This window comes from Homo sapiens, chromosome 1 (genome assembly GCF_000001405.40).
Source record: "Homo sapiens chromosome 1, GRCh38.p14 Primary Assembly".
Taxonomy (NCBI): domain Eukaryota; kingdom Metazoa; phylum Chordata; class Mammalia; order Primates; family Hominidae; genus Homo; species Homo sapiens.
This window is the reverse complement of record NC_000001.11, coordinates 68071589-68091924: the sequence shown is the minus strand read 5'-3', so window position 1 is coordinate 68091924 and position 20336 is coordinate 68071589. Positions and strand designations below refer to the sequence as shown.

Genomic DNA, 20336 nt, shown 5'->3' with positions numbered 1-20336 from the left:
GGGGGCCAATATTCAACATTCTTAAAGAAAAGATTTTTCAAACCAGAATTTCATATCCAGCCAAACTAAGCTTCATAAGTGAAGGAGAAATAAAATCCTTTACAGACAAGCAAATGCTGAGAGATTTTGTCACCACCAGGACTGCCTTACAAGAGCTCCTGAAGGAAGCACTAAACATGGAAAGGAACAACTGGTACCAGCCACTGCAAAAACATGCAAATTGTAAAGACCATTGATGCTAGGAAGAAACTGCATCAACTAACGGGCAAAATAACCAGCTAACATCATAATGACAGGATCAAATTCACACATAACAATATTAACCTTAAATGTAAATGGGCTAAATGCCCCAGTTAAAAGACACAGACTGGCAACTTGGATAGAGTCAAAACCCATCAGTGTGCTGTATTCAGGAGACCCATCTCACGTACAGAGACACACATAGACTCAAAGGGATGAAGGAAGATCTACCAAGCGAACGGAAAGCCAAAAAAAAAAAAAAAAAAAGAAGAAGAAAAAGAAAAAGCAGGGGTTGTAATCCTAGTCTCTGATAAAACAAACTTCAAACAAACAAAGATCAAAAGAGACAAGGCCATTACATAATGGTAAAGGGATCAATTCAACAAGAAGAGCTAACTACCCTAAATATATATGCACCCAATACAGGAGCACCCAGATTCATAAAGCAAGTCCTCAGAGACCTACAAAGAGACTTAGACTCCCACACAATAATAATGGGAGACTTAACACCCCACTGTCAATATTAGACAGATCAATGAGACAGAACGTTAACAAGGATATCCAGGACTTGAACTCAGCTCTGCACCAAGCAGACCTAATAGACATCTACAGAACTCTCCACCACAAATCAACAGAATATACATTCTTCTCAGCACTACATCGCACTTATTCCAAAATTGACCACATATTTGGAAGTAAAGCACTCCTCAGCAAATGTAAAATAATAGAAATTATAACAAACTGTCTCTCAGATTATAGTGCAATCAAATTAGAACTCAGGATTAAGAAACTCACTCAAAACTGCACAACTACATGGAAATGGAACAACCTGCTCCTGAATGACTACTGGGTAAATAACGAGATGAAGGCAGAAGTAAAGATGTTCTTTGAAACTAATGAGAATAAACACACAACGTACCAGAATCTCTGGGACACATTTAAAGCAGTGTGTAGAGGGAAATTTATAGCACTAAATGCCCACAAGAGAAAGCAGGAAAGATCAAAAATTGACACCTTAACATCACAATTAAAAGAACTAGAGAAGCAAGAGAAAACAAATTCAAAAGCAAGCAGAAGGCAAGAAATAACTAAGATCAGAGCAGAACTGAAGGAAATAGAGACACAAAAAACCCTTCAAAAAAAAAAAAAAAATCAATGAATCCAGGAGTTGGTTTTTTGAAAAGATCAACAAAATTGATAGACTGCTAGCAAGAGTAATAAAGAAGAAAAGAGAAGAATCAAATAGATGCAATAAACAAATGATGAAGGGAATATCACCACTGATCCCACAGAAATACAAACTACCATCAGAGAATACTATAACCACCTCTATGCAAATAAACTAGAAAATCTAGAAGAATTGCATAAATTCCTGGACACATACATCCTCCCTAGACTAAACCAGGAAGAAGTTGAATCCCTGAATAGACAAATAACAGACTCTGAAATTGAGGCAATAACTAATAGGCTACCAACCAAAAAAACTCCAGGACCAGACAGATTCACAGCTGAGTTCTAACAGAGGTAGAAAGAGAAGCTGGTACCATTCCTTCTGAAATTTTTCCAATCAATAGAAAAAGAGGGAATCCTCCCTAACTCATTTTATGAGGCCAGCATCATCCTGATACCAAAGCCTGGCAGAGACACAACAAAAAGAAGAGAATTTTAGACCAATATCCTTGATGAACATCGATGCGAAAATCCTCAATAAAATACTGGCAAACCGAATCCAGCAGCACATCAAAAATCTTATCCACCAAGATGAAGTTGGCTTCATCCCTGGGATGCAAGGCTGGTTCAACATACGTAAATCAATAAACATAATCCATCACATAAATAGGACCAAAGACAAAAACCACATGATTATCTCAATAGATGCAGAAAAGGCCTTTGACAAAATTCAACAGCGCTTCATGTTAAAAACTCTCAATAAACTAGGTATTGATGGAACGTATCTCAAAATAATAGGTATTTATGACAAACCCACAGCCAATATCATACTGAATGGGCAAAAACTGGAAGCATTCCTTTTGAAAACTGGCACAAGACAGGGAACTTCAACATAGTGTTGGAAGTTCTGGCCAGGGCAATCAGGCAAGAGAAAGAAATAAAAGGTATTCAATTAGGAAAAGAGGAAGTCAAATTGTCCCTGTTTGCAGATGACATGATTGTATATTTAGAAAACCCCATTGTCTCAGCCCAAAATCTCCTTAAGCTGATAAGCAACTTCAGCAAAGTCTCAGGATACAAAATCAATGTGCAAAAATCACAAGCATTCCTACACACCAATAACAGACAAACAGCCAAATCATGAGTGAACTCCCATTCACACTTGCTACAAAGAGAATACAATACTTAGGAATCCAACTTACAAGGGATATTAAGGATCTCTTCAAGGAGAGCTACAAACCACTGCTCAACGAAATAAGAGGACACAAACAAATGGAAGAACATTCCATGCTCATGAATAGGAAGAATCAATATCATGAAAATGGCCATAATGCCCAAGGTAATTTATAGATTCAATGCCATCCCCATCAAGCTACCAATGACTTTCTTCACAAAATTGGAAAAAACTACTTTAAAGTTCATATGGAACCAAAAAAGAGCCTGCATTGCCAAGACAATCCTAAGCAAAAAGAACAAAGCTGGAGGCTTCATGCTACCTGACTTCAAACTATACAAGTCTACAGTAACCAAAACAGCATGGTACAGGTACCAAAACAGAGATATACACCAACGGAACAGAACAGAGGTCTCAGAAATAACACCACCCATCTATAACCAACTAATCTTTGACAAACCTGACAAAAACAAGACATGGGGAAAGGATTCCCTATTTAATCAATGGTGCTGGGAAAACTGGCTAGGCATATGTAGAAAGCTGAAACTGGATCCCTTTCTTACACCTTATACGAAACTTAATTCAAGATGGATTAAAGACTTAAATGTTAGACCTAAAACCATAAAAACCCTAGAAGAAAACCTAGGCATTACCATTCAGGACATAGGCATGGGCAAGGACTCCATGACTAAACACTAAAAGCAATGGCAACAAAAGCTAAAATAGATAAATGGGATCTAATTAAACTAAAGAGTTTCTGTACAGCAAAAGAAACTACCATCAGAGTGAACAGGCAACCTACAGAATGGGAGAAAATTTTTGCAATCTACCCATCTGACAAAGGGCTAATATCTAGAATCTACAAAGAACTTAAACAAATTTAAAAGAAAAAAATCAAACAACCCCATCAAAAAGTGGGCAAAGGATATGAACAGACACTTTTCAAAAAAAGACATTTATGCAGCCAAAAGACACATGAAAAAATGCTCATCATCACTGGTCATCAGAGAAATGCAAATCAAAACCACAATGAGATACCATCTCACACCAGTTAGAATGGCCATCATTAAAAAGTCAGGAAACAACAGATGCTGCAGAGGATGTGGAGAAATAGGAACACTTTTACACTGTTTGTTGAAGTGTAAACTAGTTCAACCATTGTGGAAGACAGTGTAGCAATTCCTTAAGGATCTAGAACTAGAAATACCATTTGACCCAGTGATCCCATTACTGGGTATACACCCAAAGGATTATAAATCATGCTACTATAAAGACACATGCACACGCATGTTTATTGCAGCACTATTCACAATAGCAAAGACTTGGAACCAACCCAAATGTCCAACAATGATAGACTGGATTAAGAAAGTGTGGCACATATACACCATGGAATACTATGCAGTCATAAATAAGGATGAGTTAATGTCCTTTGTAGGTATATGGATGAAGGTGGAAATCATTCTCAGCAAACTATCACAAGGACAGAAAACCAAACACTGCATGTTCTCACTCATAGGTGGGAACTGAACAATGAGAACACTTGTACACAGGGTGGGGAACATCACCCGCCGGGGCCTGTCATGGGGTGGGGGGATGGGGGAGGGATAGCATTAGGAGAAATACCTAACGTAAATGATGAGTTAATGGGTGCAGCAAACCAACATGGCACATGTATACATATGTAACAAACCTGCACGTTGTGCACATATACCCTAGAACTTAAAAGTGTAATTAAAAAAAGAAAAGAAAAGAAACAAAAGAAGGGAGGGAGAAATTTCAAGACCCTTATAATCTTTCCCTAAGCTACCTTTTTAACATAGCTCTCATTGATACCCTGGGTAGAGCCTATATTAGCAAAATAAAAATCACCACCATGAAATACCGTGTGCTTCCTGCTTTTAAGCATTTGTCCATGCCTCGCCCACTCACTTCTTCCTGGATGAATCAACTCCACCTTCAAACTGCATCCAAGTGCAGTTTCCTCCAGACGGCTTTGCTGACCATCCCAGGCCCCGATGAGTCCTCTTTCCTGTGGACTCCAATTGCTATGTATTGACTCTCTTTTCAACACCCTAAATCAGAATACATGGTCTGCAGAGAATCTGTCTCCCACTTATGGGTGTGAGCAGCTATCTAGGAGATGTTGTTTGAAGCTGAAAATACTGGAATTTCACACATCAAAAGTTTTTTTTTTTTTACTTTAAGTGCGTATTATGGGCCAGGCACTATGTTAAACACATCATATACATGATTTCATTGAAACCTCATGACAATCCTCATAGGTAGGTATTATTATAGACATGCCCGAGGTTATACTAGTGACAATAAATTGCAGAGCCAGAATTCAAACTCGGCTCTGGATGAATATTTAGGACACGCTCACCACTCGGCCACCTAGCTGCTCACAGAAGTGAGAAAGGGTAGGGTGGCAGGGTTTGGATTGGGTGAGGCTTCCAGTGTGTGAAGAGAAGCTGGGAGAGATGAGGCTGGGCTTGACCACAAGCATATAGGAAGTACTCAGGGCTGGCATAAGTGGGATTTAGGCCCTCAAACTCTGTTGCTTTCCTTGTCCCATTTTCAAGTAAAGAATATTGGCATTTTCTGTAACTAATGGAAAGTACTATGCATATGCATTTCAAGCCTCATGCCAACTCAATGACGGCCCTTTAGCCACTGACACAGAAATTCTGGAGCCACCAATGCATGCAGCTTGTGGATGTCCACCTGTGAACACCCCAGTCCCTTGCACACTAGCTCATGTCTCCAATACTGCATGTGCTTTCCTCACCAAGATTGCCAGGGACCTTCCCAATATTCTAGGATTATATTATTATCTCTGCTGTTGTTCTAGTTTCCAAGTAACATAGAAATTATCTTTGGCCTCAAGAAGTGATAGAGCATTGTGGTGAAGAGTTTCTATCTCTTGTGCTCTTAGATAAATAAGATAACTTCCTTAGTTAGTCCGTGATTCTGCTCTATGGGATGATCTCTATAACTCACTGTTCTAGGAGGCCCCTAGTCTTGATCTTTGGGAAGTTCTTCACTGTTCATTTTCGTATTTGTCCATCTCCAAAGTGGGTGTTAGAGAGGACCCTCCCAAGTACAATGGTCTATATCTTATTATTTGTATGATTTGGGGCTTCTCTCAGTTTCAGTGTCCTCAGTGTAAAATGGAGATTATATTATACTTGCACCTATCTCATTGGGTTGGTTTTGTTGGTTAAATGAGCTAATATACATGGAGCACGTAGCAAATACTTGTATCTATAAATGCTAGTGTGTTAGTCTAGGTAGGCTAGATTCTGCTGTGGTAACAAACAGACCCATTCACATTCCATTGGCCATAACTCACATTCCATTGGCCATAACTCAGTCACATGGCCTCAGATAACTCTAAGGAAGGCTGGGAAATGCAGTCTTCATGTGTGCCTAGAAAGAAGAGGAATCAGGCTTGGTGAGCCCTTAGTCACTTTTTCACACAGACTGCCCTACTGGTTGTCAAAAAGCAATTTCACTCTGCTTCTCACACAAAGAACACACTTGTGCCCTTCCCTCAAATCCTATCCCATCACAGCATTCAGCCTCAAGTCCAGGATCTCTGAGTGATGGGCAGCAATTGCCATCAGGTGCTGATTTTGCTTCTCGAGTTTGGTGACCTATTAATGAAAAAGGAAAGTTATTCCCCATTACCCCCAGGGCCACTCACCATGCACATGATTACAGAGGAAGAATAAGATAATCATAATGAACGCCCATTAGAAAACAGAGGAAGAATGTGAGGCACACTGTGGTCACTGGACCTTGGCAATTCAGAAATCCCACTAGGCAGACATTGTAAAGGCTCTCTACCCTAAACGAGGAAGTCCTTAGTTAGGCTGTGATCTGCTCTATGGGATGATCTTTCTCACTCACTGTTCTGGGAGGCCCCTAGTCTTGTTCTTTGGGAAGCTCTTCCCTGTTCATTTTCATATTTGTTCATCTCCAACATGGGTGTTAGAGTAGACCCAAGTACACTCACTTTCTTCCTGAGATTTTCTTTAAAAAGCAACTCTCCATAATACAGACTTTTCTAGACCCGGCTTATGGTTTCTTTGGTAGTAAAATTGCCTCAAACAGTAGTAGGTTTTTGTTTCATTTGTTGCTAATCTGTTTCCTGTGTCATTAACAGCACTTCTTTTCTGATGCACCCTTCAAATATGTTTTCTTTCTCTGTCTAACTACCCGCCATGCCTCTCTTACTAACTTGAAGCTAGCAGGCTCATGAGACATCAACACCCTTCATCTCATCTGTACTACCAAGTGAGTCTAATGGACTTTTCTGGCTTCCTGTATCTTTTTTCTTTTTATTCAGGATCTAGAAGCAGTTTTTTCCTCTTCTATTCAAAGCCCAACATTAGATATTCTCTGTTTCCTTTCACCTGTGCTTGCCACACACAATTTTTGCCCAAGCACACCTTTGTCTTGTAATATCTTACTCAAAGCAGCCATAGTGGCCAACACACACTATCTTTCTGACTTACAATCACTTTTCTAGAACTTTAGGCAGGCAACCATTTTGTCAAATAGTTTGGCATAGCAAAACAGGGCTCCTCAGCCATTCCAGTCTCTAATAATTTGTCTCCTCACCAGCCCAGGTCACATGCTTTAGTTTTCTGTTGTAGGAGCACCCACTTCAAAGTATCAATGTTTAATTTGGTTAGGGTAGTCCACAGTATGCTGTGATTACAGAAAAGTCCAAGCATATAAAGGCTCAGTAGGGAAATAGTTTATTTCTCAGTTGTCTCAAAGTCTATTGCAGGCTGAGTAATTCTCCAGGAAGTAATTTGGGAGCTACAGCTCCTTCTACCCCATAGTTCTATTATATTCTATGCATGACTCTCAGAGTGGTCTTGAAAGTTCTCTCCATTCCAGTCTTATGGTAGAAGGATAGGTCTGAAAGTGGCATACATGACTTTCACCCATAATGTTCATTTTGGCTGGAGAGTCAGTCATAGCTGTGCCTAATGCCAGAGAGGCTGGGAAATGTAGTCCAGCTGTGTGCCCAGGAAGAGGAAGATACAGGTTTGGTAAGGATCTTGCCAGTCTCTGCCACTGTTAGCTATGAAATTGGCCCCAAGGCCTGTCTATTCTGCCTCCATAATCTCTCTACATATTTTTACTCCTATTTTCAATATCCCCTCTTTTGTATATATTCTTTCATAGTTTTTAATAATAACTTCTATGTTTCTCTCCAGGCTCTTATCCTTCAAATTTCATTTAGATAGTTGCCAGTTATTTTTCTAAAGCTCAGATCTGATCATATTACTCTCCTTGCCCAAAAATGCCATTGTCCTCCACACTCAGGATTACAGAATGAAGTGCAAACTCTTTAGCCTGTTGCATAAGTTCTACACACCCTATGCTCTCACATGGCAGACTTTGCCTATACGTCATGTTCTTTCCTTTCCTGCCTTAGTGCATGTGGTGTACTGTTGGCCTCCTCTACTTGTTCAAATAACACTTGTATGTTAAGACTTTCATGAAGCTGTCCTTGAGTTGCCACGTTAACAAGGTCCTTTCCTCCAACATTCTCAGTCCCTTGCTTATCAGTCCCCTTGATTCTTACATTGTTACTGTGATATGCTATAATTATTCTCACCTTATGTGTCCAAGGACAGCTGTATATTTACAAATAGCAGAACCAATAGGAAAGTTTGAAATATTTACATCTCCAAATTATGAAGGAAAACAAGATCAACATCCTTGTAAATGTCAACTCAAGACTTTAAGAAATCAGATTCTCTGTACAAGCTTTATGAGTCAGAAGAAAACATCTCTCCCACTGTTAGTGCAGGAAAAAGGAAGCATCTTGTCCATCTTGTCTAAAAACCTTTTTGTTATTAATAATTTAAAACACTTCATTGTAAACATTGGCTATTGTAATCCTATTAATTAGCCTTAAAGTTTTAAAGTAAGTAATCTGTAAGTATGATATGGAAAGAGAAAAAGAAGAGTAACTTTATAGTGAAGAAACCTGATAAACATTACCTCAGCCAGGTGATCAAGGTTAATATCTGATATAGTTTGGCTCTGTGTCCCCACGCAAATCTCATGTTGTACTGTAATTCCCAATGTTGGAGGTGAGGCCTGGTGGGAGGTAATTGGAACATTTGGGTGGTTTCTAATGGTTTAACACCATCCCCCTAATGCTGTCTTATAATAGAGTTCTCAGGAGACCTGGTTGTTTGAAAAGTGTGTAGCACCTCCTTTTTCATTCTCCCTCTCCTGCCAGCCATGTGAATATGTACTTGCTTCCCCTTTGCCTTCCACCATGATTGCAACTTTCCCAAGGTCTCCCCAGAAGCAGAAGCTTGTACAGTCCACAGAACTGTGAGCCTATTAAAACCTCTTTTCTATGTAAGTTACCCAGTTTTAGGTATTTCGTTATAGCAGTGTAAGAACAGAGTAATACAACATGAAAGTGATAAGTCTCATTGATCATATGTACTCTTGATATGATATGATGAGAATGATTATGTACATCTGTGGTCTTCCTCCAAAAATGTATTATGTCAGTTTAATCATGAGAAAAACACCAGACAAATTCCAATACCAATTTCTACAAAATACCTGACTAGTAGTCCTCAAAACTGTTAAGATCATTAGAAACAGGGAAAATCTGAGAAACTGTCAGAACCAAGAAGCAGCTAAGGAGACATGATCACCAAGTGTAATGTGGTAACATGATTAGGATCCTGAGACAGAAAAAGGACGCTAGAAAAAAAGAAAATGAGGAAATCTGAATAGTGCCAAGAAGTATGAGGGCTTCTAAAAAGTCATTTAATGCTGCTGTCCTTGTCATTGCTCAGGATCGTAACACAGACACACAAACACAATCGATGTATATAAAGATATATGCATATCCTGCTTAGTCATGTTCTTTCCCTGCCTCCTGTGGACAACTGCTCTAATGTGCTTAGTATGTATGTTGTATGAATGTGTTCCTGCAAAATGTATAATATTGTTTTGTGGGCATACCTCTTTAATTTACATAAATGATGAAGTGCCATATACCTCATCTCTTTTTCTTACTGTTTTTCAGTAAACACTATGTTTTTCACATCCATTTGTACTGTTGTGTGAACATCTAATCTACTTCTAATTGCTATAATGATATCACTCCTGGAAAGGCCCTTCTCTGCTAGTCCTACTCTCCTCCCACCACTCTCTTCTTCAAGGGGAGAGCTGGCTTTAGGTGGTTGGTGCATTCCTTTGAGTATAAGGCATAAGTATTCACTTACACAGACCTGATCATCTAGGAAAGTTTCCAAAGAAGTATTCTGGCTCATTTAATTAAGAAGACTATGCTGGCAGCATATTCAAAACTGTAATTAGTGCTACTCTATAAATCCTCTCTGCCTCCTGAGAATATTTGATTTCTGATTCCTACAGAACCTTATTTCCCTTAACCCCAGAGGACTATGTTAACTCCATCACTAAAATTCCCATAGGATTTCTGAGCATTATGTTTCAAGGTGTATACTTGTGAAAGTAGAGGAACTGGGAGACAGGAACTGATGGCTTTGTCCTGGCTATGCATCTGATTGGCTGGGCCACCCTGAGTAGGTCTTAACCTCCTTCTGTGTTGGGAAAATAAGTGCTGAAGTCACTCTCCTGAGTTTGAATCCCAGCTCTACAAATTTCTAGCTGTGTAACCTTGGGCAAATTATAGTACTCACCTAGGAAATGAGGTAATTAGGCCACAGATGATTTCCAGGGTGGATTCCAATTCAACTACTATTTCACTCATAGATGCTTTATTGGCTCTTAGCTCTGTTGGCATCATTCTGCCTGAAATGCCTTTCCCCATTGTCCTCTCCTCCCTTCAAAGTTCACTTCAGATGGCACAGCATGGTCTCTGTGAAGCTTTTTCTCATTCCTCCAGCCCTACCCCAAACTCCATCCCCCAACATTGGGAGAAATCTCTCAATACTTTTTTTCCATTACAAATACACATCTAACTAATTGGTAGATAGCACTGAGAAACCTGCTTCACTACATAAGAAATATAAACCTAGCTCAATACATGATGAGAATGATTATATAGTGAAGAAACCTGACAAACATTACCTCAGCTGCATGACCAAGGTTAATGTCTGATAGGGTTTGGTGCTATGTCCCCACCCAAATCTCATGTTGAAATGTAATTCCCAATGGTGGAGATGGGGCCCTGGTAGGAGGTGATTGGATCATGTAGGGGGCTTGGAATTGTACGTAAATATTAATTTTACATACAAAGTTAAGTTAAAGACTTTATTGTGAAAGGTGAAACTAAAGTTAAACTGAAAAAAGTAGGAGAATATGTTTGTGGCCCAGGATAGAGAAACAACTTTACCAAAGTTGTATCTACCTGGGGTGAAAGCACTGAGCCAACTCTAGACCTCTGTAGCATTCCTGTTTCACCTAGATGAACAAAAAATAAAAATAAAGGCAAAGAAACACTTCTGAAGCTTAGAGACTCAGGCACACTAAAAAAAAAACAGATTTAAACATGAGATTGTAGAACCGTTTCCTCTACTATACCTTATCGGTACATCAACAGAGGTACAAATTAATAAAAGTAGATTATAACTGAAAGAACTACCACACTATTTTAGAAGGATTTCTTAGGGAAACCCAAAGAAAATGGAGTAGAAAAATAAAACAAGGATTCTAGAGGAAACTAAAGCCTTGGGCACCTATAGCTATAGGAAACATTAAACACAGCCCAACCTGTAACCAGATGAACAGTGAATCTCCATACTAGAGGCCTGATTATCTGAGTTATAATTACTCAATATATCTGGCTTCATAATACTGAATATAATTACATACATTATATATAATACTCAATATAATTATATATAATTACTCAATATATCTATAAACAAAAATAGATAAATCACACAAAAAGGTAAAAAGAAAAACCACCTCATAATATAAAGAAACAAAGCAAAAATCTGAATCAGATTCAGATATGATGCAGATTTTGGAATTATCAGACAGGGAATTTAAAATCAATGGTTTAATATGAAGGGCCCTATTCAAAAAAATAGCATGCAAGAACAGATAGGTAATGTAAGTAGAGAGGCAGAAACTCTAAGAATCAAGAAATGCTGGAAATGAAAAACACCATATAGTTAAGTTCTTACTTTATGCTATCCATAGGTTCTCAGACATTGCAGCTTTAAGCAAAACAAGGTACTCTATGCTGTAGGAACTTACTCTTGTTTATATCAATTAGCCTACGGGAAAATTGGTTTCCTTACACAGTATGTCACTTAAAGTTGCAGTGTTCAAGAACCTATCAATGATGTTAAGTGAGGACTTACTGTAATAGAACTAAAGAATGCTTTTTATAGGCTCACCAGGAGACTGGACACAGCTGAGACAAGAATTAGTGAGCTTGAAGATACATCAGTAGCAATGTCACAAACTGAAATGCAAAGACAAAATAAAAGAATAATGATAATAAAAAGAACAGAATGTTCAAGAATTGTGAGACAATTACAAAAAAAAAGTATATATTTAATTGGAATTCTAGAAATAGAAGAGGATATATTTAATTGGAATTCTAGAAATAGAAGAGGATGTATTTAATTTGAATTCTAGAAATAGAAGAGGATATATTTAATTTGAATTCTAGAAATAGAAGAGAGCAAATATAGGAAAAGAAATACTTGAAATAACAATGGATGAGAGTTTTCAAAAATTAATCACAGATACCAAACCACAGATCCAGGAAGCTCACGGAAAGCCAAAGAGGATAAATATTAATACCAAAAAATTAAAACCCAGGTATATCATATTCAAACTACAGAAACCCAAAGACAAAGAGAAAATCTTAAACGAAGATGGAAGGGGAAAAAATCTTACCTACAGAAGAACAAAATAAGAATTACATCAGACATCTTGCCAGAAACAAGACCAAAAAAAAAAATAATTCAGTGCAATTTTTAAAGCATTGAAAGAAAGACACTCACCATCCTTAGAATTTTATATACAGCAAAATTATTCTTTAAAAGTGAAGGAGAAAAATAGTTTCTCAGACACACAATGGAAATGTATCATTATCACACCTGCCCTGCAGGAATGTTAAAAGAAATTTTTCAAGGAGAAGAAAAATGATATAGCTCAGAACTCAGATTTAAATAAAGAAAGGATACTTGGTGGAGGGGGCCAATATGGTGGACTAAAGGCAGCTCGTGTATGCTGCTCTCATGAAGAAAAACGGATGGGCTTGTGAACACCGATCCTGCAGGCCAATCATCTGAGAAACCACGTTGAGATCCAGCAAGGCAACCAGGGATACAGAGAGCAGAGAGGAGTGAAGCTGGGTGCCAGCCTGTCTGGACTCAGCAGGGAGCCAGGAGACCCTCTTTAACATGGGAAAGGGTGAGTGAATGGGAGCCCTCTAGGGGATTCACACTCTCCACAGGGACCCGGGCAAGGCTGGGAATGGGAGAATCCCCCTTCCCCCACTGCATCCCCCAACCATGCTTCTAGACTGAGGCAGAGAGCCACCTAGATGTTTTGTGGGTCAATGCTTGAGTCCAGGGGGCCTCTACAAGCCTTGGGCCCCAGAGCAGACAAGCACTGATACCATAGCCCCAGTAAAGGCTACAAATATGGTGCCTGGGAACAGTAAGATTGCTCCATCCACACCTTGCCAGAACAGGCTGACGACTTCTGGCCCAGTGGTCCCACTTCAGTCTGAAGTGGGCAGCCAGGTGGGCAATGCTTCTGACTCAGCGGTCCCACTTCTGTCTGAACTCAGCTGGATGGTGCAGTCTCCTGTTGATCTGGGTAGTACCTGGATGTCAGGGTGTGTGACCGCACCCACTTCTGCCACTGGTACCCAGGAAGGCAACATCTGCTAGAGCTTTTGGCAGAGTGGTCCCACTTTTGTGTGGACTAAGTCAGAGAGTGCAGTCTCCTACTGTCCTGGGAAATGCCCTGATGGCAGTGCAGGTAATTCCACTCATGCTCTGCACTAGAAGCCAGGCAGGAGGAGAAAAATGGCAGATAGAAGGCAGGACTAAATTGTAGCTCCCACTCGTGTGGATGTAGCAGCATGTAGAGACTCATATCATGAACTTTTGTTCCAAGAACTACTACAGAACATACCAGGAAAGCTAAGAGAATTCACAGACCCTTTGAAGGAAGTGGATTGCTCCTGCTGGCCCTGGGAGACAGCCAAAAAACTGCGAGTGTCCCAAGTGTGAAAGAGGAACCATCCTCCCCCAAACACACACCTTCACTGGGGAACCTGAAGGTCCAGATCATAGGAGAAGGATTTGACCTTACCTGGAGCTGAGACAAACTTAGAGAGCTGAGCAAAATACAGGAGTAGAAGCAGCAGCAGCAGGAAGAGCCTGTGGGCTCTCTTGGTCCCTAGGGAAGCCATTTCTGACTTTGTCTCAGAGGGATCTTTAGGGAGGGCTGCCAGAGGAACTGGGAAAAGACCACAGGGAGAAGGAAACTTCCAGTTGAATGTTGTAACAATTTCAACTGGACGCAAAGTTTCCCAGACAGAACTCAGGGGAGGGGGTGAATCAGGAGTGCAGACACAGCACAGAAGCTGCTGGAGGCAGGGAGGCACAAAACCTAAAAACCCTGTTTGCTTTCTCAACTGGGAGTCTGGGAACATGGGGCAAGTTCTCAGCCCTGCTCACCCACTACTTGGAAATAAACTTGGTGCCATCGGGCGGGCACAGTGGGAGTGAGATCGGCCTTTTGGGCTCCATGGGAGCTGGGTGAGGCCTTTAACTGCCAGCTTTCCCCCACTTCCCTGGCGACCTGCATCACACAGAAAAGGCAGCCATAATCCCCCCTGGAAACATAACTCCATTGGCCTGAGAAACACACTCCCATATGATAGGCCACAAAACAAGTCTCAATAAATTTAAGAAAACTGAAATTATATCAAGTACTCTCTCAGACCACAGTGGAATAAAATTGGAAATCAAATCCAAAAGGAATCCTCAAAACCATGCAAATATATGGAAATTAAAAACTTGCTCCTGAATGATCATTGGGTCAATAATAGTCAACAATCAAGATGGAAAATTTAAAAATTCTTTTAATTGAACAATAATAGTGGCATAACCTATCAAAACCTCTGAGATACAGCAAAGGTGGTGCTAAGAGGAAAGTTCATAGCATTAAATGCTTACATCAAAGTCTGAAAGAGCACAAATAGAAAATCTAAGGTCACAAACCAAACCACAAGCCCAGTAGAAAAGAAATAAACAAGTTCAGAACATAACTAAATGAAATTCAAACAAAAAAATACAAAAAGATAAATGAAAGAAAAAGCTGGTTTTTTAAAAGGATAAATAAAATCGATAAACCATTTTTGAGATTAACCAGGAAAAGAAGAGAGAAGACACAAATAAGCTCAATTAGAAATAAAACAGGAGCTATTACAACCAATAACACAGAAACTCAAAAGATCATTCAAGGCTGCTATGAACACCTCTATTTGAATAAACTAGAAAACCTAGAGAAGATGAATAAATTCTTGGAAATGTACAACCTTTCTAGATTAAACCAGGAAGAATTAGAAACTCTGAAAAGACCAACAACAAGCAGCAAGATTGAAATGGTAATTAAAAAGTAACCAAGGAAAAATAGTCCAGGGCCAGACAGATTTACAGCTGAATTCTGTCAGACGTTCAAAGAAAAATTGGTACCAATCCCATTGACGCTATTCCGAAAGATAGAGAAAGAGGAAATCCTCCATAAATCATTCTATGAAGCCAGAATCACCCTAATAACAAACCCAGAAAAGGACATAACTTAAAAAAAAAAAGAGAGAGAGAAAACTACAGACCAATATCCCTGATGAACATAGATGCAAAAAATCATCAACAAAACACTAGCTAACCAAATACAACAGCATATAAAAAAGATAATCCACCATGATCGAGTGGGTTTCACACCAGTGAGAGTTTAACATATGCAAGTCAATAACTGTGATACACCACATAAATAGAATTAAAAACAAAAAAATCACTTGATTATCTTAACAGATGCAGAAAAAACATTTGACAAAATCCAGCATCCCTTTATGATTAAAACTCTCAGCAAAGTCAGCATAGAAGGGACATACCTTAAGGTAATAAAAGCCATCTATGACAAACCCACGGCCAACATTATACTGAATGGGAAAAAGTTGGAAGCATTCCCTCTGAGAAACAGAACAAGACAAGGATGTCCACTCTTACCACTTCTATTCAACATAGTACTGGAAGTCCTAGCCAGAACGATCAGACAAGAGAAAGAAACAAAGGGCATCCAAATTGGTAAAGAGGAAGTCAAACTATTGCTTTTGCTAATGACACGAGTGTATATCTAGAAAACCCTAAAGACTCATCCAAAAAGCTCTTAGAACTGGTAAATTAATTCAGCAAAAGTTTCAGGTTACAAAATTAATGTACACAAATCAGTAGCCCGGCTATGCACCAACTGTGACCAAGCTGAGAATAAAATCAAGAACTCAACCATTTTTACAATAGCTGCAAAAAATTAAAAAATTAATAAAATACTTAGGAATATACTTAAGGAGTTGAAAGACCTCTACAAGGAAAACACAACACTGCTGAAAGAAATCACAGGCAACACAAACAATTGGAAACACATCTCATGCTCATGGATGGGTAGAATCAATATTGTGAAAATGATCATACTGCCATTCTACAAATTCAATGCAATTCCCATCAAAATACCACCATCATTCATCACAGGACTAGAAAAAACAATCCTAAAATTCATATGAAACCAAAAAAGAGCCCACATAGCCAAAGAAAGACTAAGCAAAAAGAACAAATCTGGAGGCATTACATTACCTGACTTCAAACTATACTACAGGGCTACAGTAACCAAAACAGCATGGTACTGATACAAAAACAGACATGTAGACCACTAGAACAGAATAGAGAGCCCAGAAATAAAGCCAAACACCTACAACCATCTGAACTTTGACAAACGTCATAAAAACAAGCAATGGAGAAGGGAGTCCCCATTGGCCCTGGGATAACTAGCTAGCTACATGGAGAAGATTGAAACTATACCCCTTCCTTATACCACATACAAAAATCAACTCAAGATGGATTAAATACTTCAGTGTAAAACCTAAAACTGTAAAAAATTAAAACCTAAAACTGTAAAAACTAATAAAATCCTTAGGAAATACCAATTTGGACGTATGCCCTGGCAAAGATTTCATGATGAAGATGCCCAAAGCAATTGCAATAAAAAAAAATTGACAAATGTGACCTAATTAGACTAAAGAACTTCTGTACAGCAAAAGAAACTGTCAACAGAGTCAACAGACAACTTACTGAATGGGAGAAAATATTTGCAAACTATGCATTCAACAAAGGTCTAATATCCACAGTCTATAAGGAACTTAAAAAGATTTACAAACAAAAAGTAACCTCATTAAAAAATGGACAAAGGGCATGAACAGACACTTCTCAAAAGAGATGTACACATGGCCAAAAATCATATGAAAAAATGTTCAACATCACTAATTGTTAGAGACATGCAAATCAAAACCACAATGAGATATCATCTCATACCAGTCAGAATGGCTATTATTAAAAAGTCAAAACAACAGATGCTGGTAAGGTTGCAGAGAAAGGGGAGTGCTTACAAACTGCTAGTGAAAATGCAAATTAGTTCAGCCACTATGGAAAGCAGTTTTGCAATTTCTCAAATAATTCAAAGCAGAATTACCATTTGACTCAGCAATCCCATTATTGTGTATATACCCAAAGGAATATAAATCATTCTACCATAAAGATGCATGCATGCATATGTTCATTGTAGCACACTATTCATAGTAGCAAAGACATAGAATCAACCTAAATGCTCATTAATGTAGACTGGATAAAGAAAATGTGGTATGTATACACTATGGAATACTATGCAGTCACAAAAAGAATGACATGTCCTTTGTGGCAACATGGATGGAGCTGGGGGTCATTATCCTAAGTGAACTAACACAGGAACAGAAAACAAAATACCACATGTTCTCGCTTATAAATGGGAGCTTAACATTTAGTACATATGGATACAAAGAAGGGAACTACAGACGCTGGGGCCTACTGGAGGGTGGAGGGTGGAAGGAGGGTGAGGATTGAAAGACTATCAGGTATTATGCTTATTACCTGGGTGAAAAAACAAAACAAAACATACACCAAACCCTTGAAACATGTGATTTACTTGTATAACAAACCTACACATGTACCCCTGAACAGTAATAAACTTTTAAAATATTAAAAATAAATGAAAAAAACACAAAGCTATAAAAACCCTAGAAGACAACCTAGGCACTACCATCCTGGACATAAAAAAGGGCAAATATTTTATAACAAAGATACCAAAAGCAATTGCAACAAAAGCAAAAATTGACCAGTGGGATCTAATTAAATTTAAGAGCTTCTGCACAGCAAAAGAAACTACCAACCAGACTAGAGACAACCTACAGAATAGGAGAAAACATTTGTAAACTATGCATCTGACAAAGGTCTAATATCCAGCATCTACAAGGAACTTAATTTTAGAGGAGAAAAACAACCTCTTTAAAAAGTGGGCAAAGAACATGAATAGATACTTCTCAAAAGAAGACATATACGCACCCAACAAGCACATGAAAAAAAGCTCAATGTAACTGATCATTAGAAACGCAAATCAAAACCACCATGAAATACCATCTCACACCAGTCAGAATGGCTATTAAAAAAAAAATTTTAAAAACTGATGCTGCTGAGGTGGCAGAGAAAAGGGAAGACTTATACACTGTTGGTGGAAATGTAAGTTAGTTAAACCATTATGAAAAGCAGTATGGCAATTCTTCAAAGAGCAAAAAGCAGAATTACCATTTAACCCAATAATCCCATTATTGGTATATACCCAGAGGAATAGAAATCATTTTACCATAAAGACACATGCACGTGAATGTTCATTGTAGCGCTATTCACAATAACAAAGACATGGAATCAACCTAAATGCCCATCGATGACAGGTTGTATAAAGCAAATGTGGTACCTCTACACCGTGTAATACTATGCAGCCATAAAAAAGAATGAGATCATGTCTTTTGTGGGAACATGAATGGAGCTGGAGGCCATTATCCTTAGCAAACTAATGCAGGAACAGAAAACCAACTATTGTATGTTCTCAATTATAAGTGGGAGCTAAATTATAAGAACTTGAGAAAGAAGGAAACAACATACACTGGGCTCTACTTGATGGTGGATGGTGGGAGGAGGGAGAGGAACAGAAAAGATAACTGTTGGGTACTGGGCTTAATAGCTGGGTGATGAAATAATCTGTACAACAAACCCCCAAGACACAAGTTTACCTGTGTAACAAACCTTCACATGCACCCCAAACGTAAAATAAAAATTAAAAAAATAAACAAATAAAAGAAATGAAAAAAAGGAAAAAAGAAATGAAGAAAGGAAGAATGCTAGAGATGGAATGAAGGTAAAATAAAATCTTTTCTTATTCTTGATTGATCTAATAGATAACTGTTCAATGTAATTATATTAACAATATATCAAGCAGTTATAGCATATGAATGAATGAAATGAATAACACCAATACTATAAAGGATGGCAGGAATGAACTGGAAATACTATGTTATAAGGTACTTGAATTGAATGTAAAGTGGCATAGTCTTATTTAAAGGTGAACATAAAGTTATACATTGCAAATTCTAGAGCAGCTATTAAAATTTTTTTAAATTGTGGTAACTGTTGTACTAAGAGAGAAGAAATATAAAATGACATAAAATGTTCTACAACTAGAGAAGGCAGAAAAAGAGGGAAAAAATAAAAAATAAAAAGTACAATTAATAGAAAACAGTTACAAACATGGTAGTTATTAAACCAACTATATCCATAATCATATTAAAATGTGAATGGTTTGAATATGTAAATTAAAAGACAGAGACTGTCAGAATAGATAAAGGAGACCTAACTATATATTGTTTACAAAAAAAACCCATTTAAAATATAAAAGCACAAATAGGTTAAAAGTAAAGTGATAGAGAAATGTCTACCATAATAATACTAAGCAAGAGAAAGTTGGAGTAGATTTGTTAATTTCAAATAAATCAGATTTCAGAACAAGGAAAATCATCAGGGATAAATTATCAGGGGCATTTCATAATGATAAAAGGGCTAATTTTCCAAGATACATAATAATCATTAACGTGCATGCACCTGATAGCAAAGCACCAAAAGACATGAGGCAAATACTAATAGAACCGAAAAGAGAAGTAGACAAATCTGTTATTATGGTTGAAGACTTAAATAAAAAAAACTCTCCCAGTAATTGATATCTCCAGGAGGTAGAAAATCAGTAAGAATACAGCTGAAGTGAACAACATCATTAACCAATTAGCAATTTAATTAACATATAAAAAGTATCTCACCCAACAACAGCAGAATACACATTCTTCTCAAATGGAATGTTTACCAGGATCACATTCTGGGTCACAAAACATACCTGGACAAATTTAAAAGATAAGAAATCATACAAATTATATTTTCAAGTGTCAATGTAATTGAGCTGGAAATCAATAACAAAATGATAGAATATTCCCAAATATTTGGAGATGTAACAATGCTTTTCTAAATAACACATGGATGAAAGAATAAGTCTTAAGAAAAATTAAAAATATATAAAACAAAATAAAAATAAAAGTTATCAAACTATG

The 20336-nt window shown here is 38.0% G+C and overlaps 1 long non-coding RNA gene across 1 annotated transcript in view; it reads right to left on the bottom strand.

Annotated features, from left to right (window-relative positions):
* The window catches only part of GNG12-AS1 (GNG12, DIRAS3 and WLS antisense RNA 1), a 370700-nt gene that overhangs the window by 111063 nt on the left and 239301 nt on the right, over positions 1 to 20336 (bottom strand). Inside the window, exon 3 of the long non-coding RNA NR_040077.1 lies at positions 20052 to 20125. This is a non-coding gene — a long non-coding RNA (GNG12, DIRAS3 and WLS antisense RNA 1). The remainder of the gene's footprint in view (positions 1 to 20051; positions 20126 to 20336) is intronic.